This window comes from Homo sapiens, chromosome 6 (genome assembly GCF_000001405.40).
Source record: "Homo sapiens chromosome 6, GRCh38.p14 Primary Assembly".
NCBI lineage: Eukaryota > Metazoa > Chordata > Mammalia > Primates > Hominidae > Homo > Homo sapiens.
Window position 1 is genome coordinate 157,287,176 of NC_000006.12, and position 24,659 is coordinate 157,311,834.

Below are 24,659 nucleotides of genomic sequence, written 5' to 3' on the forward strand. Positions count from 1 at the left end.
GGGACAATGCCCTCCATTCATGCCTCCAGTGCCTGAGCAGGGCACTGGCCCGTCCCGTGCAGCAAGACCACCACCTCCTCCTCGGTCGGATGCAGGGCCACTGAGTATCATCTGTCTGTAGGGATCATCCTGCAGGTCTGTGTATTTCTTTCTTCCTGCTCAGTAGGTCAGAGCTGGTGAGTGCAGTGGGATCTTACCAGGTGGCTTTTCATTTTTGAACTATCCGTTCACAGGGCTGGCAGTTAGAAACGCCTAACCTTGCAGCCTCTGGCTGTAAAAGCCCAGGACACCCCCAACCCCAACCCCCGCTGAAATGACTTTTTCCTCATTTTCATTTTGATGTAATTTTCCTTGAGTTTTGGTGGGAAAGGCAAATGTGGCCAGCACAGAGAAGGCAAATGCCAGTCTCCCAGGACCTGGTCTCACACACAGCCAAGTGGACGCTTGGGTCCTCTTCCCAGGGAGGAGCTCCTCCCTCCCCTTTCCCTTCCTTCCCCTCCTCCTCCCTTCCCTCCCTTCTGTCCTCCCTCTCCTCCCTCCCTTCCTTCCTATCTTCTTTCTTGAGTCCGCTAAGGGCTATGATGGGCTTAGTCCTGAACCCGAAGAAACAGTCCAAGGTGAACGCCCTCTTCCCGTCAGGGCTGTGGATGTTTCTCTAGGGTCTCACCTGAGTCTGCGTTTTCCAACCCAGCCCTTCACCCCGGCTCCTTCAGTAACATTTAGAATATTGAGAAGTGAAAGCTAACCATGCTCATTGAAGAATATGGATTCCACCCCAACTCCGAGCCCTTACATTTTCACAGTTCCCAGGGAAGATCTCTGTATGTGGGAGACACTTGGAAAGACAGGAGAACCTGGGATGCGGGCTGGTATGCTGCAGAGCCCCACCCTGGCAGGTGGAAGTGCGGTTTTCCCTCCCACTCCCGATAAACTTGAACCCGGCCCTCCTGCAGGCATTCTCCACTGCGGAGCCAAGCCTCCCTGTCACTCACTGCATCACATGCTGCATCCAAGCATCCCTGTGAAATAGGGAGTTGAGACACTTGGTCATGTGCTGATTCCACAGATACTTTACACCCATTTGTCATGAGTCTTTGAAAACAGAACCAGAGGTGGCTCACGAGCAAGCTGAGTGCAGAGGTTTTCTCAATCCTTATCTTCTGACAAGGGGTCTTATTTTAGTTTTTATGAGATTTACTCACTAGAGTTGTCTTAGCTGCAGAACCTCTGTCCTGACTGCAAGAAGGATCTGAGTAGCTGTGGCCGCCATGGCCTGATGGGAGATGGAAGGACACAGGGAGACAGTGGCTGCAGGGACGGTCTACCCCCTGGTAACACTCCCCAAAGGCTCTGGATGGAGAGGTCTGCCACGTAGCCTCTGCTCCAGAGTAGGAAACATGGTGGGGGATTCAGCCCCTACAACAGGGTCAGTCGGAGAAGACAGCCAGCAGCAATAAAATAAACACATTCCCACCACCCAGCTTGGCAGAGCAAAGGAGCAAACTGCAGTTTGGCACAGCTCTGTACAGACCACCAAAATCAAGCTTTCTTTTAGAAACTCAGTTTTGCCAACTTGTCCTCTGAAGGCAGGGCATGCACGCGGGAGCGCCGGAGACTCGCCCAGGGCCGGCAATGTGGACATCGCCTGGAGGTGTCCTGTGGAGGGTCACCTATTAGGCTGCAAACCTGGAAGGCCACTCTGAGCCTGGGGTGTCAGAGGCAGCATGAGGGTACGGTTTTTGAGTGTTTTCAGATGAGCAGGTAATAGGTGTTATGAACATGCCAAGCTTTCTCAGTTTGCCTGACTTAGCTTCTTAGGAGAGTCCATTAAGAATGAGCTTTATCCTTATGTCTTTAAGTACATTTAATACATTCACCTTTTTTTTTTTTTAAAGTAAGGGATCATGCCTCATCAAACAGTAATGAAACAAAGGCCTCGAGCCAGCTTCTCTAAGAAATATAAATCAAGGTCCTAAATCACTTCACTAATACTTGGGTGGGAAAGTTGAAACGATATGTGCTTCTTGGTAGCTGTGATTCTAATTTTCTCCAAAACTGAGTTATCTGCCATCACACAAAATTTGCTAACAGCCTCACTCATTATTACAGATTCATGTCACTGCTTGTGAGAGATGCTTGCTTTCCTCTTCTATGCTCACAAAATCGCAGCCTTGGGCAATTAATCCTGATAACACCAAGAGAGACCCAAATACTTGCTATATCATTTAATGACTCTTGGCAGAAAGCAAAAACACTTCACTTGAACATGGTATTATAAAAATATGTATTTTACTAACTTTCATAGGAAATTTAACTATTTGATGAAATGCCTTTGTATGTTACCTGATTTTCATTTGTACTTAACAATTTGTCTTAAAGATGATACATAAAAATGAGATGAAAATATATAACCTTCCCCATAAACCAAGATTTAATCTTGGAGATTAAATGTTGCCCCAAGTGAAATAGCTAAATTCAATGGATTTTAATTACTTTTATCCCCATGGGCTCCCCGTCCCCCCACCCCCACCTTAATTTCTTCTATTTTCCCCTTAGATTGCAATGATTAATTTGCAAGTTTGGTCCCATACTATCCATGAAACTAAACAAAACATGTGACAGCCCAGGTGATTCGATGCCACCTTTTGACTAAGCAGGCAAAGTGCCCTTAACGCCAGCCTGGGCCCATGCCCTGACGCGAGGGTGGTGGTGGAGATGGCCCACGACCCTCTCAGCAGCCACATGCTTCCATGCCCTTGGGCCATGGTCCTCCTGGTGATGGGCTGCCGGGCGTCTTCGGAGGCAGCTCCCGTCCCCCACTTTCCACTCTCAGGTTGTCCTGAACCCACACTTTCTTGACTCTGAATATAACAGCAGCCTATGGACTCCTTTTCACAGGGCAGCAGCAACTTACCAGGATACATGTTTTCCCTTGAATGAATCCTGGGGTCTCGGAAGCCACTCCTCCCTGCCCGTGCTTTCTCTAATAGCTCTTTTGGGCGCTGAGACTCTAAGTGTAAAGCTTAACACTCACCCAGTGGAAGCAACAGCCTTACCGAAAGCCTCCTTAATGTTGGCTTAGACAGGAAATGGAAATGGCCTGCGTTATCCATCCTTTAAAGCATTTCTAGTGCTCAGCCTCCATGAAATGGATTGCTTATAGGGAGATAATGTCTGTTCTATTCCTTTTTAAGTCTGTGAAAAATGTCATCCTGGTTAATAGGGTGATTAAAACTCTTTATGCTCCAGGAGATAAATGTGATTATGTTTGTCATACTCAACCCAAGATAAAGACAGCAAAGAAGGCAAACTTGAAATTCCATCACATTTCCTCTCTTCCATATCCAGGGACATTCAGAGCTCAATACACAGATGGTACGTCTCATAAAGAATAACATTATCTGTTCAACATTTTTCCTTTCCATTAACCAATTTAACAATATGCCTCTGGTACAAAAGGAATAGACAAATGACGAAATCTACTGATATTCAAGTTCTGACTGTGAAAAACACCACTTGAGTCATACTGCTTGTTTTCTTTTTAAATTTCCATCTGTGCATTACTTCACCTTTGCTTTTAAGATGCAATTGGAGCTGACGCTTGGTCCCTCTTTTAGGGAATTTGTCCCTGCCAGCCTCCCCTCTGCAGGGGATTCATCATCATTCTAATGGGAGTTCCCCTGCCATCGGTCAAGGACAGCAGAGGTGACATATAAGGGTTTTGTAGACACGAGGCATGCCACTCTAGTATTAGGACACTCTTTCAGCAACATATGTCTAGGCCTCCTCTGTGCCAGCCCTGTGGGAAAGCAGAGCCCCCACCATGGCCCCTGGCTCCTTCCTAGGGCCTAGCTGCCATCAGCCTGATGTGCAGCAGCCTCTGCAGCGGTGCTGACACCAGTTTACAAGGCCCTGAGAGGGGTCCCTGCCCTTCGGGAGGTTACAAGGCAGGAATCCATTAACAGAATCAGTTAACAATGATTTCTCCTTTTAACACTCCAGACAGGTGGGCAAGTCTCCTTTCTCCACCCAGTGGAGGCCTTTAGAAACCACTAGGCATTCTCCATCTATGAAAAATAAAACCCAGATTCTAGCTGTAAACAGTTTTAGGTAGTGCCCATTCTTTTTCCCCCCACATCAAACGAGTAAAGTGCATCGTTGTAACAAGGTTTGAGGGCCATCTCATGCACGTTGGAAACCCACATTTATGAAGCACAAAAGGATCAGGCGGTGCCCATTCTATTCAGAGGAACCTAGATTCAGACTAATTGTATGGACGAAAACCTGTTCCTTTGGCTCCTGCCTTTCCTTCCTTTCATTCAAAGCCTACAGATCTCTTCTCAGAGGAGATTTAGTTACAAATGAAAGGCAGTGAAGAGTTTTTGCTACCCGCATTCACTGACCAATTTCACAATCCTTTCCTTTCAGTCTTGGATTTTTAACAGATTACATATGAATTCCAGATGCTGATTACACCTGTTTCATTAACAATACAGCAATTTTAACAGGGTAACATGGTCTAGAGAAAAGTATTACATTAAGTTCTTGTCATTTCATTTAAAAATCTCCCTTAGAATAAAAGGTTTCATGATAACAGAAATTTCAAATGTCCTTTATTAAACCTGATTGCTGACTAATTAGAGCCTAGGCAAGTAGGAAGAAATTGCACAACTGATATTTAACTACAGGTTTTTTCTCTGGACATATTGACATATTAAAGTATTTCTCTTCTTGAAAATATTTTAAAATACAATTGCAGTAAAAACAATTGCATGTAGACATTATTCTCCATCTGTTTTTTTTGTAGGAGACTGTGGAAGACAGGAGGGAGTTGGGCGTGCACACAGAATTTACCCTAACAGCTTTGTTAGGGAGGTGGTCCCAAATACTTTATATTGGGACTCCGTACTCAGGTGACTTTCTGGTTAAAAATATTGAAGACGGATGACAACTGGGCTTTTTTTACTTTGACAACTGAGACAAAATGACAAATTGTCAGTGTTCAGAGATCCAGACCAACTTCTCAAAAAAATATGTTTACCCCTGATATCATCATTATTTTAGCCCAACTGTGCCTTTTGGGGTGATCACAACTCATTACTGGCTTTTTGTTTTAAGTATAAGAATTTATAGGGCCTTCAAGCAAGGGCATCAGGTAAATAACTAGCATGTGTGTGATGGCTGTAAAGCACAGACCACATTTAGGACCCGAGAGCCACACCCACTTCCTACCATACAGGACTTACCAGGTGACTGTCACTTTGTAGTCTGGCTAATCAGAATAAGACTTCCAAGTTCTGTCATATATTGACAAGAAAGGCTCTTGAAACTCCTTTAATTAGACACATTGCAGTACTATTGCTATTAGGGGGTCTGTTTTATAAATATTTTCTTATCATACTTTTATTATAAACTTTTTTAGTATGAAATTTGCTTCAACTGTTACAAACAGAATCATTTCCTATGGGGTCCCCTCCACATAAGGAAGTTATTCCTGTAATTACTATTTTTAAATAGTCTTCTTAACTGTGGGAAAACTTTACCCTCCCCCAGCACGCACACACATACTCTCCTGTGATGAGGCTGAATGCTATCCAGTGCACTGGTTCAGTCAGCAATCTGCCCATGTTCCTGGGAGAAATCAGTCCCAGTCCTTTTGCTGTCATGGTGTCTCCAGAGCCACCCCTTTCTGTAACAAGCATTTTGAAATTCATCCATGCTCATCTCATTTGGATTTCAATGTTTCCTCCCACTCAACAGCCGATTCGGAGTTCTTGGGAATTGTTGGAAATATTGATTGCATTTTACTTCGAAAGTCGTTCATCTAAAAGAAGAAAAATAATCAGTTATCAAATGTTAAAAGAAGGAGAAAAACAGCTATTAGAGATGGCACCTTTGCTGACTGGCTAGTACTTCACTGCTCACAGATACAGAGCTAAGGAACATCAATAAAAGATAGGGACTATATATATCCTAGGTATCTTGAAAGAAAATGAAATATACTTCCTTTCTTCTTCTGAGTATAAATTTATTAATAAATAACATAAAACTTCACTCTTAGCTGGACATGGTGGCTCACACCTGTAGTCCTAGCTACTCGGGAGGCTGAGGTGGGTAGATTGCTTGAGCCCAGGAGTTTGAGTCCAGCCTGGGCAACACAGCAAGACTCTATCTCTTTAAAAACAAACAAACAAACAAACAAACAAACAAACCACTCTTAATCTGCAAGGCAACATGTCCTAAACCGTCAACTCTCCATAATAATTATTCCCTCCCAGAAGAAGAGTGTGTATTGTTGGCTTTCATATATAAAGATGCCATTGAGGATGGGATTTCTTTCTGAATAAATAAATATAATTAGGTCATTCAAAGCTAGAATTTTAGACACAGAAATGGCAGACAGAAGAAACTTAGGAGTTTCGTCAAGAATAAATCAAGGAATGGTAGATAAACTGGAATGTTCTTATGTGCAAGACAGTGGTTTTTTTTTTGTTTTTGTTTTTTTAAATCTAGGTAGGAGTTTTACAAGCAGTTGATTTGGAATCAGAGTCACAGCAAGGGAACAAGAGATTTTTTTTTCTTTTTTTGAGGCAGTTGCCTAGGCTGGAGTGCAGTGGCACAATCATGGCTAACTGCAGCCTCAACCTCCCGGGCTCAAGTGATCATCCCACCTCAGCACCCCCAAGTAGCTGGAACTACAGGCATGTGCTAACTTTTGCATTTTGGGTAGAGATGGGGTCTTGCTATGTTGCCCAGGCTGGTCTCAAACTCCTGAACTCAAGCAATCCTCCCACCTCGGTCTCCCAAAGTGCTGAGATCACAGGCGTGCACCACCGCGCCCAGCCTAAGAGATCTTAACATGCAGTGTCACACAGTATTACAGTTTACCTGGAGCACCTGGGTCCACCTAAGGCGTACAACCCCATAAGGTGGGAACACTAACTTACAGAAGTTAGGTGATCTTTACATTGGACAGTACTAGTAACACACTCCCTGATTCATCCTGGTTAATCTATACGGTCCTCCTACGAAGACATTTCAGCAGCACCACAGTACTGCCTTCCAATTTTTTCTCATCAGCCATCTGCCAGTCATATTTTCCTAAGGATAGAGATAGCCTTGATCAGGTTTGTGAAGTATGCTGGACTCATATGCAACATGCAAGTCATTTCTTTTTTTTTTTTTTTTTTTTTGAGACGGAGTCTGGCTCTGTCGCCCAGGCTGGAGTGCAGTGGCGGGATCTCGGCTCACTGCAAGCTCCGCCTCCCGGGTTCACGCCATTCTCCTGCCTCAGCCTCCCAAGTAGCTGGGACTACAGGCGCCCGCCACTACGCCCGGCTAATTTTTTGTATTTTTAGTAGAGACGGGGTTTCACCGTTTTAGCCGGGATGGTCTCGATCTCCTGACCTCGTGATCCGCCCGCCTCGGCCTCCCAAAGTGCTGGGATTACAGGCGTGAACCACCGCGCCCGGCCGCAAGTCATTTCTTAGAGTGGTTATTTTGAGAATCAGCTAATATTTCTTTAATGTCGATGCTTATTTATTTCAATTTGAGGCTGAATCTTTACCTTGTTTCCAGATTTAGGGGTTTGGGACTTGTAAATCCTAGGCATTTACTCCTAGCACTGCTGCAAACTGTAGCACTGCTGTCAGCAGCATGGACTCTGTTCAGATCCTAGCTCCACCATTTGGGAAAGCTGCTTACTCTATTAAGCCATACTTTCCACATATGTAGAATGGAGACAGTAATTACCTGCTTAAAGAGTTGTGAGGATTAAGGACTAAGTGAGATGATGCATATAAAGCACAGCATCTAACACATGGAAAGTGCTCAATATACATTAGCTATTATCATTGCTGTATTATCGACATATGTGTGCTATATTCCAAGAACAAAGCTCACATGGATATAAATATTATGGAATGTCTGTTAAGTACATTACTTTATAGCTATATATCTTTTTAGTTTACATATTCTGTCACTGGAAGATACGTAAGGTCTTCCTTCCATATTACATATTGTCTGTATCTGTGCCAGCCATCTCAGTGTTCTGGACCCAGACACTAATCTTGAAGACACACAGCTCATGGATGTCTCCCTCCCCACTCCCTCTTCCATAAAGAATTAATTGCTTTGTCCAAAACATTAATATCACCCCCACTGAGGAACTTTGCATAGACTTTTGTAGTTGAAAAACAGACATCTCTCTGGCCAGGGTTGGCAATGTGCTGCCTGGTTCTTTCTCTTCACTCTTCTGGTTGAACATCTTTTACAACGAAGCCAGATGACAATTTTCAAATGGGATGTCAGATAGCCAAGACATGAACAGAATCATTCACCAGTCTCCCTTCCAGTGGTCTGGAATGTGGTCAGCTGCTGAGAAGGGAGAGGCTGGGAAATGCAGGTGAGGCCAGGGGAGGAGAGCAAGGGGCGGTCCTGCTCTCCTTCGGCAGGGTTACGTTTCCATTTCCTCCTCTTGGCCTGATTGTTTTCTTTCCTCTAATTTCTCAAATATTAAATTATTTACTTGTGCCCAGGGTCATGGTAACTGAATCAATAGAAGCACTCTATCTGAAAAGTAACTAACTAGGAATAGACAGGCCTGAGATGAGGGAAAGGAACGGAGATGGGTAAAGGGTACCATCTATCCCTGTTCTCTAAGTTTACAGCTGTGGAAATCGAAACGCAGACATTTAAGATATAAACAGGGCCTCAAGTGGCTTTAGAGAATGGGCTCCACAGAAGGCTTTTCAGCTCATACTGTTCATATTACATGGACAGTAAATGAAAACCTTCACATCGTTTCCACCTATATCAATTTCTGATATGCAGTTCAGAAAAGGTATTGGTTTGACCAATGATTCTCTATACATGAAGCCAACAGAACATTTCCCTGTTTAAAGATGTGCTTGAAAAGATTTAGGGGTTGAGTGCATTTAAGCAAATTTGGTTATAAAGTAAATGTACTGAATTCCTTGATAATCACAGCTACTGCCATAGAACTGACTGCCCTGTACCCCAAAAGTCTGGTGGGGGGTATGCTGGGAACTAGAGTACCCATCCAGCAACTCCGTTTCACTCCCAAGCATTTTCCAAACTGTAGTTCTCTCTTCTTTCCTCTGACCAGGGAAAATTTTCCTATACTATGGATAACAGGGTTACCCTTCCAAGCAGTGCTGCTGTGCCCTGCACACCTCCAGGGGGTGCTTTCCATAAAAACTAAGACATGAGTGGAGTGTGGTGGCTCACGCCTGTAATCTCAACACTTTGGGAGGCCTAGACAGTTGGATCACTTGAGGCCAGGAATTCGAGACCTGGCCAACGTGGTAAAATCCCGTCTCTACTAAAAATACAAAAATTAGCCAGGCATGGTGGCGCACGCCTGTAGCCCCAGCTACTCAGGAAGCTGGGGAAGGAGAATTGCTTGAACCCAGAAAGTGGAGGTTGCAATGAGCCAAAAGCATGCCACTGCACTCCAGCCTGGGCCACAGAGTGAGACTCCATCTCAAAAGAAACCAAAACTAAACAAAACCAAGACATGAATGGTACTCCCCAGTGCCGTGGGCCCACCATCCTCATCTAAGACATGAGTATTACTCCCCAGTGCCGTGGGCCCACCATCCTCATTTCTAAGTCCCAATGCTTTGTGTCCAACAGTGCTGCATTGTCATAGTCACAGAAAGTACCACCATCTGAGGTAGTAGTGCTCAAATGGAATGTCAAGACAAATGGAAAATGTATTACAAGTAATTTGTCACAAATATGGATGTTCTGTAGATACAATGGCCTTTTTAGACATTAAAACAGATTCAGGATTATGCCTCTAATAATGTTATTCTCGTTCACATTTCAATAGGCCATATAGCCAGTAGGCCAGGAGTGAGGCCAACCACTGATGCCACTTAGAGAGTCCTTACTGTATGCCAGCCATATTTCTCATTTAACCCTCCCAACAACCAAGTGGGGCAAATATCATCCCTCCTTTAAAGCTATGGTGATGGAAGCTCAGAGAAACGAAACAATGTGCTCAGTGCCATGGCTGGTAAGAGCAAATCTGACTGCACAGCCTATGTGCTTACTGTGTATCCTGCTTGAATATGCACAGGGGACACTGCTGCACATTTACCATGCATGTCTTGGTAGGGGAAAAACACTTGAAAACATTTGGTCTAATATACAGTATGCTGAAAAGTTACTTAAAAGCCTCAGGTTATGTCCCCAATTTAATTAATTTCAGAAAGTCCTTAAGCATCAATTCCAATAAATAGGCAGTTGTTGGAATTACAAGCTCTCAAATTCCGCAGCTGAGCTCTCAAAAGCTCCTAAAACCGCCTAGAACTGAAACCACCACTCTTCTCTTCCCACTTTCAAGGAGCCCAGCACATCAGTGAGTCCCATTATATGACACTGCTTCCTGAGAAATCAACATTTCTAGATGTTTTCAATAAAGCAGTATGGGAGTTCTGGTCAGGGTAGAAAAGGGTCAGTGTTTTGGAGGATCACCATCATGCTTGATAAAATTCAACTAAGCAGGACTGGCCTGGTTTAGAGGGCAGATACTGATATTTTCACTTTTGACTAGTTTTGTTGCTATCCACATGGATCCTGAGATGAAATGTATTTGAACATACCGTATTATTAAATATTCAACTGCATTAGGAAAGCGAATGTGAATTTTTACATCTCAGCTTTCCATTTTCTAAGCTACTAATCCTATTATTTAGATAAATGTCAGACAAACATTTTTACTTTCTCCCCAACTTTCACTGTATCACATGCATAAAGTCCAAAATCTGTAGTAAAGTCAATTGATTTAGAAATACAAAGCACACATGTAACTTTCTGAGAAATACAATCCCTGAAGTATGCATCAAAATGGCCAATTTTTATGACAGTAATTAACAATCAGGCACAAATTCAAAAGCAAAAACTTTCTGTAAACATGAAATAAACTGAAGAGCGGAATAACCCAGGAGGCTCTTAGAGCCAGGGCCACTCTGAAGCTAAGATCCTGCTCAGTAAGAACAATTTCTAACATGCTTCTTGATTTAATGCGCTAACAGGTCAGGTTCTCAGGAGCGATTCTAAAATGATTTTTACTCAGTCAGGCTTTATTTTTAGTAACTGCAAAATTTAGGGAAGTTTCCTTTCCCGGCCAAACAAACAACAGTAACTATACCACCTCTGACTGTCAAGCCTCTTTCTAAAAGCTTTCTGAATTACTGCGTTAAACATTTTATAACAGCTACCATCAGATCACTATTTTCATATCTTAACCAAATGATCCTGCTTCACTGGTGTGCGCACATACACAAGTGTGTGCATGTACACACATGCCCAACATGCAGCTGCAGTCCCCACTTCATGTCTTTTTAACGACCCAGCTGAAAGGCCGTCCCAGAGGAAATGAAGGCGGTTTCAAGATGGGTCCATTATAAAAAATACCTGTACGTATATACTTTTATTTTTACATTGTAGAGGAAGTTACCACTTTTTTACAGCATATAAATGAACATAGGTATAAGCCAGCAAGAAGAAAGCATGTATCTAATGAAAATAATCAGAATATCTAGAACACAATAAATACTTACATCCTACTTTTTGGGAACCAAATGCCAACTACATATATAACAAGGCAAGTGCTGCTACATCAGGGGTACCAAAAACACTTTCTTTAGGAATTGTAAATAAGTATCACCCAGCACCTGGATGCTAAATAAAAGAGCTGGAGGACTAAATAAATAGGTAAGTCATTTTATCCACTTTCCTGTTTCCATATTTTAGGAATTTAAGTTTATTCAAAATTTTGATATATAACCCTATATCTATGATCTCTTCAATAATTTCAGAATGGTAGTTTTAGACAACTTTAAAGCTTCAGTTCCTTCTGAATTTCTCAAAGTGTTTTTGCACTCTCTTTCAGGGGGGCCTCCTCTTCAGGGGTCAGCTTTCCCAGGACACAAGGAATATTGAGGAATACTTCTTCATCTATTCCACAGAGACCCCTAATGATGGTGGAAACTGGATGTGTTCTCCTAAGATTCTTCAAAATACTTTCTGTTAAATCAGCTACAGATAGGCCAATGGCCCATGAAGTATAACCTTTCATTTTAATAATCTCATAGGCACTAGCAATCACTTGTGGACATTTTTCCATTGTTCAGGATCTTTATCAGTTCCTGTATCAGAGTTCAGATTCTTCAAAGCGACACCAGCTATGTTCACTCCACTCCATACAGGAACACTTGAGTCTCCATGCTCTCCTAGGATCCATCCGTGGCAGTTTTCAGAGTGGATACCAAGCTTTTGTCCAAACAAGAAACAAAAACGAGCAGTATCCAGATTACAGCCGCTTCCAATAACACGGTTTTTGGAAAATGCACTCAACTTCCAGGCTACATAAGTTAAGTTATCCACTGGATTGGAAACAATAATCAGCTTGCAGAGGGGGCTGTACTGGACAATACCGGAAATCATTAACTTGAAGATGGCCACATTTCGCTGGACTAAATTAAGGCGCGTTTCTCCCTTTTCTTGACGTGCACCTTCTGTGATAATCACTAGGCTGGAGTTTGCTGTGACAAGGTAATCTTTGCTACAAACAATATTTGGCGTTTTCATGAAAGGGCTGCCATGTTGAAGATCCATTGTCTCACCCTTCAGTTTGCCTTCATCAAGATCCACAAGGGCAAGTTCATCACTCAAGCCTTTTAATAAGATGCTGGTAGCGCAGGCCATGCCCACCGATCCAGTTCCTATGATGGAGACCTTACTGTGATGAGCGGGCTCCTCGGAAGTGAAGCGCTCAACAAGCTCACTCTTCACGGGGGTGAAGAGCCAGGCGCCCTTGAGCGGCATGCGCGCTGCCTGACTGGGACACAGGGACAGGAAATTCGCTCCTGCCGAGCTCACTCTCCGGCTGGCCTGCACAACAGACACAGTCCAACTCATGGCTGCTCACTCAAGAAATGGAGGGAGAGAATGGAAGAAAACTGCTGACCAGGACGTCGCAACGCCAAGAGAGCCATTAGCAGCACCTTCAGCCCTCTGTGGCGAGTGCGCAAGACACGCCCCCTGGCCCTCTACTGCGGCTGCGCGGGCCTTGCCAGCGCCTTCAACATGTACTTTCCGTTGGTGCTGAGACTAAGGCAGTGAAGGGCTGCTTCTCGAGCAAGTGATTTCTGGAGTTAGTTTTACAAAGAGTATTCTCATCGATAGTTGACATGCTTAAGAGGTTAACCCAGATCCCCGGAATTACTAGTTTTCTATTTTTAGTATGAATGCCAAGGAAAAATGCTTCTATTAACTACGGATGAAAATCAGGTTACATCTTCTGAACGGTGACCCTGCCGGGAAGGATAGGGCGCTGTGCTTTGCATACGGGTGGTTGCCTGCACCATCTCCCAGTGTCCCAGAAGTGGGCTCCTGCTATCTGGTGTATGGCGCCGGAGGCCTATTTATAAAGGATCCCACTGCCTTGGTGCCAGTTCTGGCCAGGACCCACACTGGGACAGTCAGCAGGAGCTTGAGCAGGGTAGGGGCCCGCTGGGAGTCATCCCATCACTAAAAATTCACCAGGCGAGAATGCTATTCCTTTCTCATGCTAGAGGAAAGCCTTTGATTGTGCGTCCCGAAGAAAAACGACTTCTCAGGTAGAAAGCTGGCAATGCAGTCCTCAATTAAAATGAGGATATCTCTTAAAAGTCCTTAAAATGGCAAGTTTCAACCAATGCATAAATCAGATTATTGACCAAAGTAGTGAAATAAATGATCTAGTACAACGTGGCATCAGTATGCCTTATTTCTTCAGCATTTCTCTGGGCAATCTTAAGAACTAAATTCCCTTACAGTTTCTGAGGAGGTGTCAACTTCACATCTGATGAAATGCATACCCTAATAAGCCCAGTAAACTACAAAAGCTCCAAAAAAAATGATGGCACTTTCTCCTCACTTATAAACAGCATTCTGCCCGTGTAATGGTTCCTCAAAAGCTCTCCCTCTTGTTTTATTTAAAAGCAGTGTGCTCTTCTGGAATGGGGCCCCTTGGTACATGTAGCTCCTCATGATCAGCAAAAAAAAGATTTCCGCTTTAGAATATTGAATGCTGACAAAATGAATACTTTATATTTGGACTTGAAAAGCTATTACTTTTTTTTTTTTGAGACAGAGTCTTGCTCTGTTGCCCAGGTGCAATGGCATGGTCTCAGCTCACTGCAACCTCTGCCTCCCAGGTTCAAGCCATTCTCCTGTCTCAGCCTCCCGAGTAGCTGGGATTACAGGCACCTGCCACCACACCTGGCTAATTTTTGTATTTTTAGTAGAGACAGGGTTTCACCATATTGGTCAGGCTGGTCTCTAACTCCTGATCTCAGGTGATCTGCCTGTCTCGGCCTCCCAAAGTGTTGGGATTACAGGCATAAGCCAACGCGCCTGGCCGAAAAGCTATTCTTATTTGTGCCATTGAAAGGCAGTCCAGGGCTGGACGCAGTGGCTCACACCTGTAATCCCAGCACTTTGGAGGCTGAGTTTGTGGATCACTTGAGGTCAGAAGTTCGAGACCAGCCTGGCCAACACAGTGAAACCCCATTTCTACTAAAAATACAAAAATTAGCCGGGTGTGGTGGTGTGTGCCTATGGTCCCAGCTACTCAGGAGGCAGAGGCATGAGAATTGCTTGAACCCTGGAGGCGGAGGTTGCAGTGAGCCAAGTTCATGACACTGCACTCCAGCCTGGGCGATAGAGCAAGACTCCGTCTCAACAAAAGAAGAAAAAAGGCAGTCCAGGAGGAGAGGAACAATAAGCAAAGGAGTTGGTGAGGGTGGGAAAGGTGTGCCATCAGCTGAGTTCCTGACATCCTGTTTCAGGGTGACCTCCTGGCCATGTTTTCCCTATCAGTAAGGATCAGATACCCCGTTCAGATGACAGAGCCACAAACCAAATGGTAAGGGGACTAGGTACATGAATCCTCTTAGCACTGGTGGTCAGATTTTTGGTTAACATTTGTCAAATTAAAAACTGCAGTTTTAAAAGGGTCATCTTTATTTAATGGTGGCCAATGTTTTAGAGGAATCCTTTAAAAGCAACAATTTTTGATAGCTGTCATTTCTTTTATCTCAGTCATAACTTGAAATGTTTTAACCTGGTGACTGTTCCCACCATCCACCTATAATGATTCCTTTCACCAGTCAAGTCATTTTCCAAGATAAGTGTTGTTGAACATGAAATTCAAGGACATAAAGACTCTTCGCGGGATGGCTACTTTCTATAGTCATTTTCTTTCTATCGTTTGAACCTCTTCAGAAATACAATCTCTCTAATAGCTGCCTCTTCAGTTTTTCCCCTTAGCCACAACTAAATCAATCTTGAGGGGGAAAAAAAACTGTTCAAAATAAAAACATACCAAACAAAGCAGCTTTTTTATTTACAATAAGTCTTGAGATAAAAAAGGAAAGCACTAACAAAGACGAAGAGATGTATGTGACCTCCAGAGCATATTTAGGTCTACTCAAAGATGTGGAAAGCCAAGTATAGCTAGACAGCTCCCTAGTGACTTCCTATCCTAGGTGGCTCATTATTCCTTCTGAATTGAAAACCTGACTCAAATTATCTATTCAAAACGCAGTACAGTATTATAGCTAATGGCAGGATTACACCTCAGTACTTTCGGTTGTACCACTTAGGAGGGAGGAAGCAGGAAATGAAAACAACCAGCAAGTCCCTGGGCCAAGAATGGCTGCCACTAAGTCACTATTCCTTTCACCTGGACTCACACCCAGCTCTCAAATCCTCCTTTTCCTCTCCGGGAGTCCAGTTCTGATATTCCATTCTCTCACCAATCTTTGCCAATCCCCTAAGCAGAACTGGCTTTCTAAAAGCCTATGTCACCACTGTACTTTGTACCTCTCTCCATTAGAGGATTTATCACACACAGTTAAATGTAAAATACTTACGAATGTGCCACTGCAAGAAGGATCACCTTTTATTTACCAGCATATCCCTGTCCTCTAGAACAGAGCTGGGCCCACGAATAGGGATTTGGTAAATGTAGTAGAAAAGAATGAGGAACTGTAGAGCTGAGTGAGTAAGGCTGGGGAGTGGGCTAAAAGGTGAGAGAGACAGAAAGGCGGGGCCACAGACCCCATCTAGAGAGAGTTCTGAAAATGAGGGTAAGTAAAATGGGTAGGTGGCACCCACTGGGGCATCTTTAGAAAGTTGATGCATATATTTCAAGTAAAGCTTTGGATAAGCTAAAAGATTTTGTGGCTATTTTCAAAGCCAATACCCACTTTTACCAAGTTAAAACATTAAAAAACAAAACAAAAACAAAAATCTATTACAGTGTTAGAAATGCAGTAAAACAAATATGCAGTGGCAGAGAAACTATTTTTATCCTTTAAAGTTATTTAAAATGTTCTGTTCTTTGGAAAGCTTTAAAAAAATAATCAGCACACAGAACCCTTGGTTTAGGGGAAAGGGATAAAATGAAAGCAGTGTTAATTATTACAAGCTGATCTGAAATAGGCCATAAACTCACCAGCATGAACACAATTATTTTGAAAGTCTTCTTTGTGATTTGAAAAATCATAGAATGCAAATTGTAGTTTTAAAATAAATTAGTGGGCTCTAATTCTATTGCTCAGTAATTCTCATGGTGGCGGGGGGAGGGGGGGGTCTCTGCAAATCCCAGCACATGAAAATATTTTACTTTGTCAGCAACACTGGGAAAACTGGAGGAAAGACAAATAGAGGGCCACAAAGAATAGAATAAAGGCAAAAAGTCAATTCAAAGAGCAATGCTGGGATCAACTTCCTGTTTACGGTATTTAAATATGAAATGAATTGGCAAGCTCTTCTAATAAATAACCCCAATCACATTTTTGTTCTTTGAAAGCAGCATCTTATACATAATTTCTGATGCAATATAAAAGAGCCACTTGTGTTAATCATTAAAAAGGAAAACTTATAATGTGGCATAAAACATGGAAAGCAAAGAAATTAAAATTCATTAGCCTGGGCGCAGTGACTCGCACCTGTGATCCAAGCACTTCAGGAGGCCGAGGCAGGTGGATCACTTGAGGTCAGGCATTCCACACCAGCCTGGTCAACATGGTGAAAGCCCGTCTCTACAAAAAATACAAAAATCAGTCGGGCATGGTGGTGCATGCCTGTAGTCCAGCTACTTGGGAGGCTGAGGCAGGAAAATTGCTTGAACCCAAGAGGCAGAGGTTTCAGTGAGCCAAGATTGTGCCACTGAACTCCAGCCTGGGTGACAGAGTGAGACTCTGTCAAAAAAAAAAAAAAAAAAAAAAAAAAAAAGAGAGAGAGAGAGAGTGCCACTGAAATGAAATGGTAGAAGTGATGTGATCAGATTGCATTCAATAAATACTTACTAAACACCTACAATGCATTAGGCAGTGTTACAGGTGCGAGGATATAACAATGACCAAGATAAAGGAGGTCTCTACCCTCAGAATCTACATTCTTTTTGTGAAGACTGATAAAACAAGACAATGGTCAATATCATCTCGTTTTGCAATAGGCGTTACAAAGAAAAGAAAATAGGATAATTTCAGAGAGTAACTGGGTGGTGGGAATGAAGACATCTGGAGAAGCTGCTCTGAGGAGGTAAATTAAGTTTGAGTTGAAACCCTGGATAGCAGCAAACAGCCAGCGATGCAAGGACCTGGGGAAGGAGTTTCCTGGGCAAAGCTAGAGTAAAGGCCCTAGGCAGGAACAGCCCTGTGTGTTGAAGGAATAAGAATGCTGGCAGGGCTGGAGTGCAGTGGGAAGAGGTGAGGTGGGCAATTGTGGTGGCTCAAGATGAGGTCAGTGAGGTTGGTGGGGCTACATCATGTAAACCTTCTTCAACAGGAAGCCACTGAAGGGTTTTAAATAAGGAAGTAGCATGATCTGACTCACATTTTTAAAATATCTCTGGCTGCTGTGTGGAGAAAAAATTCTAGAAGGAATAAGGAAGAGGCCGGGAAACTGGACAGGAAACTCTTAAAACACTAGGCAACAGAGGAATGGATGTGGAGAGATGAAGGAGGCAGGCGGTGTTCAGCGGCAGAGCTGACAAGCAGGACTTGCATGCATCAGATGAAGGGAACCAAGGGAAATGAGAGAATCTAAGAGGATTCTCACTGGGGTTTTTGGTTTGAAGTGGAAGGATGAGATGACGGTGGCATTTACGGAATGGGGAAGACCAAGGGAGGAGCAAGTTGGGAATAAAGTGAGGAAATCAAGTGCTCTAGTTGGGACATGGGTCATGTGACACGCCTATGAGGGCGTGTCATATTGTGAGGGCACACAATATGAAGCAGAGACGCCGATCTGAAGGTCAGGGCTGGGGCTATGTATCTGGACGGCATCAGATAGTACTGTTTGTTTTAAAGTGGCAGGGACTGGACGAAAGAGCCAAGGGGCGGAGGATAGATGGAGGACAGAAGAGTTTAAGTAGGAGCTACTGGACACTGATGTTAAGAGGCTGGCCAGGGGAGGGGTTGGCACAAGAGACAGGCAAAATGTCCAGTGAGGTGGAAGGTAGCTCAGAAGCCACAGTGTTTCAGGATGGAGGGGGGGCTCCATTGTGCCCAAATGTTGCTGGGAGGGCAAGTAACAGAGGATAAAGTAAGATCTGGCAACAAGGAGGGCACTGGCAACCTTAATAGCAGTTCCAGTGCAGCGCTGGGGCAAGGAGCTGGACTGAGAGCAGGAAGGGGAGGAAGTGGAGGCAGTGACCACAGACAACTCTTTCGGGAAGCTTTTTGTGTAAAGGGGAGCAGATAAATGGGCTGGTAGCTGGAGGAGGCTAAGGAATATCTAGAGAGAACCTCTAGAGGTGGGAGAAACTAGAGCATGTCTGTACACACCACAGCAGAGAAGGAACATGTCACAATCAGCTAAGGCTGAGGATAACGATGGGAGCAAGGTCCCTTGTAGATGACGAGGGGCAGGATCTAATGCCCAAAAGGCAGGGTGGGCCTCTGGCAGCAGCATGGACCTTTTATCTCTGGTAACAGGAAGAAAGGCAGTGTGCGTGTTAAGTCCAGAGAAGGTGAAGGCCAGAGTGCTCTGGCAGAAGGGCAGAGAAAGGGCTGCAGAGAGGCAAGGCGGGAGGCAGGGAGAACAGAGACAGCTGTCCGAATCATCTTGGAGCAAGAAGGTGCCATCAACTATAGTGGCTGTGGGGGTCAGGGAAAAGCAAGATGTGGTGACTGATTAGATGCAGGGGTGAGACACAGTGTGGTCAGGAATGGCCACCTGGCTTTTCTGTCTGGGCAGCTTTGTGGGTGATGCTGCTATTCACGGGGAGAATGACTCAGGAGTAGGTTGTAGTTGGGGACAAATGACAGTTCACTGAGGGACACACGGGATGCCTGCAGGACACCCAAGCACCTGTGTCCAGTCAACTGGGCCCATGAGCCTAGAGCTCAGGGTGTAAATGAAGGCATCAGAGTGGCTGGAACCTGTGAAGGAGAAGAGATGAGGGGAGGAAAAAAAGCACCTTAAGCATAACTGGGTAAAATAAAGCAGCACTATTTCACAAGTAAGTGGGACAGTCGGAAGTTACAACAGCCAAACTGGAATCGAGAAAACTCATAAAAAGAATAAAGGAAGAACTATAAAAGCCTAGAATCTGTCAGTATAAGAAGCAAACAATAAATGATAGATCTGAGTCACCAAGAAAAAGTTACATGATAAGTTATGTTCAGCACAATTTACATAGTGGAAAAATATATAGCACATTAGAAAATGATTTCTTAAAATTGTTAGAAACATTTCAGGTAGAAAAATCCATTTGAGAGAACATCATTTTCTGATATACCGGTAAGTGAATACTTACAAACTGTACATATCAACTATATATTAGTGTAATACTGTCCCACAGTTTTAGATATTTGTAAGTGACTAATCAATCATAAGTAACTTTTAAAACGGAGCTTGAGGGGGAAGCAAATGATATCAGGTCTCCAGTCCACAATGCTTTATTTAGAGAGATCTGCTCATGTGTGCCCAATTTTCTAGGCTCAGTCTAAGAATTAAGGACAAAGAAAAAGAAAACCCAAGTGAAATCTAGGCTGCCTTCCTCCTGTGGGATACGGCTGGGAATATTATCGAGGTGATGAAGTCTGATCTGTGTCAAGCCTCAGAACAAAAAAGCTTTTATGGCAGAGCTGATTTGTCCCAGTCCTTGTCGCACGTTCCCACTTGATAAAATGCTTGGGGTGCTATTTTACTTATACAAGGAAACAGGTGGGTTTGAAAGAGCTATTTTGGAAATATGCCAAAACAGCGGATTCCCCTGCTTGACTTTTTAAAAAAGTACATTGGTCATTATCTCCCATCTTAAACTGAGCAAGTCCCTGTGATTCGGGTTCTCTGTCACCAAACTGCTTGTCCACATATGCATCAAGTGCCTCTGTCCACTACGATGTTAAACCTATTAGAGCTGCAGTGGAATGGGGAAGAAGAGTTATAGAGATGTTCTTGTCACCTCTGACTTGAACCTATTCACTGATGTGCAGTGCTACTTCCAATTCATTTAAAAATGATTCCAGGAAAATATTCCCCAGTCCTCAAGCTGTTTGAAGGCCCAAGAGTGTGACACATGGAACTACCTCTGCAGGATCGTGATGACTGTTCTGAGGTTCTAGTGAGCACTATGAAGAAGTGGAAACGAGGCCGAATATGCTGACGTATGGTAATCAAAATAAGAAATTGAGGCTTGCTTCCTGGGGGCAGAAGCTGGTAGAGATCTCTGGAAGCACTGAAATTAGATTAGGCAAGGAGGCAGAGGGAAATGTTTCAGCCGCTTCTCACACTTCCCCTGCAGATCCCTCAGAAGTGGCTGCCATTAAACAATTGGCCAGGAGACTCAGTTTTGTTTTTAATGTTTGATCTAAGCCAATGAAAGTACATAGCCCTTAAAGTCTATTTCCCTCCTTAGAGATCATCAAAGTTAAACATTTCTAAGCTTTTTCACAGTTTTACTATTTACATATGGGGTTCTAGCAGTCACTCTACAACGCTGCTTCATTTGAGGTGAATAGGTAAAAATAATGCAGGAATAAACGTACTGATAAGAGAAACACCAAACTACCAGTGAAACTTAAATTAGCAAGGAGCCAAAAGAAATTTGATTGTAATTATTAGCTAAGGCCCTCCAGTTGGTCATAAGGTTACTAAGAAGTGAGCCTAAATATTATCATAAAAATTATACCTAGGAGCAGCTACAAAAAAGAACTGGAGAAAATAAATATTATCAGAGTACATCCAATACTGTCCTAGAGGAAAGATACAATATTACTTCCCTTAAAGATTCTCTTGTAATAGGAAAGCACAATGTCCATTTATAGAGACATATTTAAAATATATCTGTTTTATTTACATGTTTTACTTTTTGTTTTTTAAAGAAAAGGAGGTCTGGGCTCTTGAAAAAGCAGCAATGTCTATCAGCAGAAGAGGAGGCAAGACGGGGCCCTGGAAAGCTGTGCAAGATGCCAATCAGAAATCACTTCCATAAAAGCCTTTCTAGCAGCAGGGACTCAGGAGAGATACAGGAAGAAAGAGAGTTGGGGGTGGGGGTGGATTACTTTCTATCAATCAGATTGGCAAAAATTTCAGAGTAATAGAAGCCACTCAGGGCAAGGATCCCAAGAAACTTTTATGCATTTTGTATAAACTTTTCTGGAGGGCTGGTTAGCAACAAATATCAAAAACATTTTAAAAATGCACTTTGACTCAACAAACAATAACATCTTTTGTGCAAGGAGATGTATGCCTACAGGTTCCCTATGGTATTTAATAGTGAAAAATTGCAATCTAAATGCCATTGGCAGGAGACTGATTAAATAGATTATAATATACAATAGGGTTCCCTATAGTGATTAAAAGTGATGGAGATTGATATACTCTGCTGTGCAAAGATGCTCCTGTGACTGTTTAGTGAAAAAAGATTGCAGAGTAGCAGGCAGTAAAGCAGCATTTCTATACAACTCTATGAATATGCCTACACAAGATGCTCCAAAAGGATGTTTCTAATGTAATTATGATTACAACTTAGTAGGATTTCTGGTGATTTTTGTTTTGTACTTTTCAACATTGATTTTTTTTTTAAACGAGTACATATTTTTATAAAAAATACCAAAGGTTGTCTTTTTTTTTCTGTTTTGAATAAAAAGGTCCTCAATATATATACGAAGATAAATACTGTTTTTGTTTGTTTTTAAACAGGGTCTCTGTCACCTAGGCTGGAGTGCAGTGGTGTGATCTTAGCTTGCCACACTCTCAACCTGCCAGTCAGGTTCAAGTGCTCCTCCCACACCTCAGCCTCCTGAGTAGCTGGGACTACGGGCACGTGCCACCATGCCTGGCTAATTTTTAAAATTTTTTTGTAAAAACAAGGTCTCGCTATGTTGCCTAGGCTAATCTCAAATTCCTAGACTCAAGCAATCCTCCTGCCTCAGCCTCCCAAAGTACTGAGATTGCAGGCATGAGCCACCGCCCACCTAACAAATACTTCTTATCCCATGGCAAAGGGGTAAAAAAACAAATCAAAAACTCCCTTCATTTATACATTAATTTAAAAATTTAAATAACTGGACAACTTAAAGTACTTCACAATAACTAAGGACATTTTCACTGATGGTTTTTTATTACAGTTGAGGTTTCAGCTCCTGTGAGGACAACAGCTATAAATTATCTGTAAATTCCTACTATACTAGGCATCATGAATGCATTCTCTAGAGGCCCCAGTAAAGGTTAGCAATGTTCATTCTGCCAGTCCTTTGAGATAACCACCTCCCCACAAACATAGAGCACAGGTCCACAGACATAGCGCATACCCCCCTGATAAAGTTCTAATCATACCAACTAGGAATTATTTAGATATTTAATGTTTCTCCTTCTAAGGGGAGGAAAAAACTCAAGGTAGTCTAGCTATAAATAACCTAAACCTCTTCAGAATCCTTCAAGTATCAACACGTACTATAAATAATAAAAGGTAAACAAGTGTAAAAGTCACTGCTCTTGAGTCACATGTAAATAACCATGTAAACAGCAAGGCTTCTTTTTCTTCTTTGATAGTTAGGGAATTGCCACTTAGTACAAGAGTTCCTTAAAGCATTTACCTCAACTGTTCTCCAAACTTAAACTATCTGTCTTGATAAAACAACTGAATCATAGCATCCCAGTGTGCACTCACCTGGCCTCATCATAGTGTCCCAGTGGGCACTCACCTGGCCTCATCATAGTGTCCCAGTGTGCACTCACCTAGCCTCATCACAGTGCCCCAGTGTGTGCTCACCTAGCCTCATCATAGTGTCCCAGTGTACACTCACCTGGCCTCATCATGGTATCCCAGTGTGCGCTCACCTAGCCTCATCATAGTGCCCCAGTGTGCGCTCACCCGGCCTCATCATAGTGCCCCAGTGTGCCCTCACCTAGCCTCATCATAGTGTCCCAGTGTTCGCTCACCCGGCCTCATCATAGTGTCCCAGTGTGCGCTCACCTAGCCTCATCATAGTGCCCCAGTGTGCACTCAGCTAGCCTCATCATAGTGTCCCAGTGTGCACTCACCCGGCCTCATCATAGGGTCCCAGTGTGCACTCACCCGGCCTCATCATAGGGTCCCAGTGTGCACTCACCCGGCCTCATCATAGTGTCCCAGTGTGCACTCACCTAGCCTCATCATAGTGCCCCAGTGTGCACTCACCTAGCCTCATCATAGTGCCCCAGTGTGCACTCACCTAGCCTCATCATAGTGCCCCAGTGTGCACTCACCTGGCCTCATCATAGTGTCCCAGTATGCGCTAACCTAGCCTCCCCAGTGTGCAGTCACCTAGCCTCATCATAGTGTCCCAGTGTGCGCTCACCTAACCCCATCATAGTGCCCCAGTGTGCTCACACCTAGCCACATCATAGTGTCCCAGTGTGCACTCACCTAGCCCCATCATAGTGTCCCAGTGTGCACTCACCTAGCCCCATCATAGTGTCCGAATGTGCGCTCACCCAGCCTGATCATACTGTCCGACTGTGCGCTCACCTAGCCTCATCATAGTGTCCCAGTGTGCGCTCACCTAGCCTCATCATAGTGCCCCCGTGTGCACACACCGAGCCTCATTATAGTGTCCCAGTGTGTGTTCACCTAGCCTCATCATAGTGTCCCAGTGTGCGCTCACCTAGCCTCATCATAGTGTTCCAGTGTGCGCTCACCTAGCCTCATCATAGTGTTCCAGTGTGCACGCATACGGCCTCATCATAGTGTCCCAGTGTGCAATCACCTGGCCTCATCATAGTGCCCCAGTGAGCACTCACCTAGCCTCAGCATAGTGCCCCAGTGTGCACTCAACCGGCCTCATCATAGTGTCCCAGTGTGCGCTCACCTAGCCTCAACATAGTGCCCTAGTGTCCCCTCACCTAGCCTCATCATAGTGTCCCAGTGTGCGCTCACCTGGCCTCATCATAGTGTCCCAGTGTGCACTCACCCGGCCTCATCATAGTGTCCCAGTGTGCACTGAGCTAGCGTCATCATAGTGCCCCAGTGTACACTCATCTAGCCTTATCATAGTTTCCCAGTGTGCACTCACCTAGCCTCATCATAGTGCCCCCGTGTGCACACACCGAGCCTCATTATAGTGTCCCAGTGTGTGTTCACC

General features: G+C 43.7%; 1 protein-coding gene and 2 pseudogenes across 1 annotated transcript in view, besides 2 other annotated features; all 3 read right to left on the reverse strand.

Moving 5' to 3' along the window:
* Nucleotides 1-1,849: 1,849 nt before the first annotated feature.
* Nucleotides 1,850-24,659, reverse strand: part of TMEM242 (transmembrane protein 242) — a 34,495-nt gene continuing 11,685 nt past the window's right edge. Inside the window, exon 4 of the mRNA NM_018452.6 lies at nucleotides 1,850-5,824. Coding sequence (NP_060922.2) covers nucleotides 5,726-5,824 — 99 coding nt within the window. The 3' untranslated portion in view covers nucleotides 1,850-5,725. The remainder of the gene's footprint in view (nucleotides 5,825-24,659) is intronic.
* LOC124901551 (uncharacterized) lies at nucleotides 4,136-4,224 on the reverse strand (annotated as a pseudogene).
* Nucleotides 11,452-13,049, reverse strand: LDHAL6FP (lactate dehydrogenase A like 6F, pseudogene; annotated as a pseudogene).
* Nucleotides 23,090-23,629: an enhancer, noted in NCBI's record as "OCT4-H3K27ac-H3K4me1 hESC enhancer chr6:157731297-157731836 (GRCh37/hg19 assembly coordinates)". NCBI's record gives its function as "activates a minimal SCP1, AML or CMV promoter by ChIP-STARR-seq in naive H9 embryonic stem cells {active_cell/tissue: H9 hESC(naive)}" and the evidence as "EXISTENCE:reporter gene assay evidence [ECO:0000049][PMID:30033119]".
* Nucleotides 23,630-24,167: an enhancer, noted in NCBI's record as "OCT4-H3K27ac-H3K4me1 hESC enhancer chr6:157731837-157732374 (GRCh37/hg19 assembly coordinates)". NCBI's record gives its function as "activates a minimal SCP1, AML or CMV promoter by ChIP-STARR-seq in naive H9 embryonic stem cells {active_cell/tissue: H9 hESC(naive)}" and the evidence as "EXISTENCE:reporter gene assay evidence [ECO:0000049][PMID:30033119]".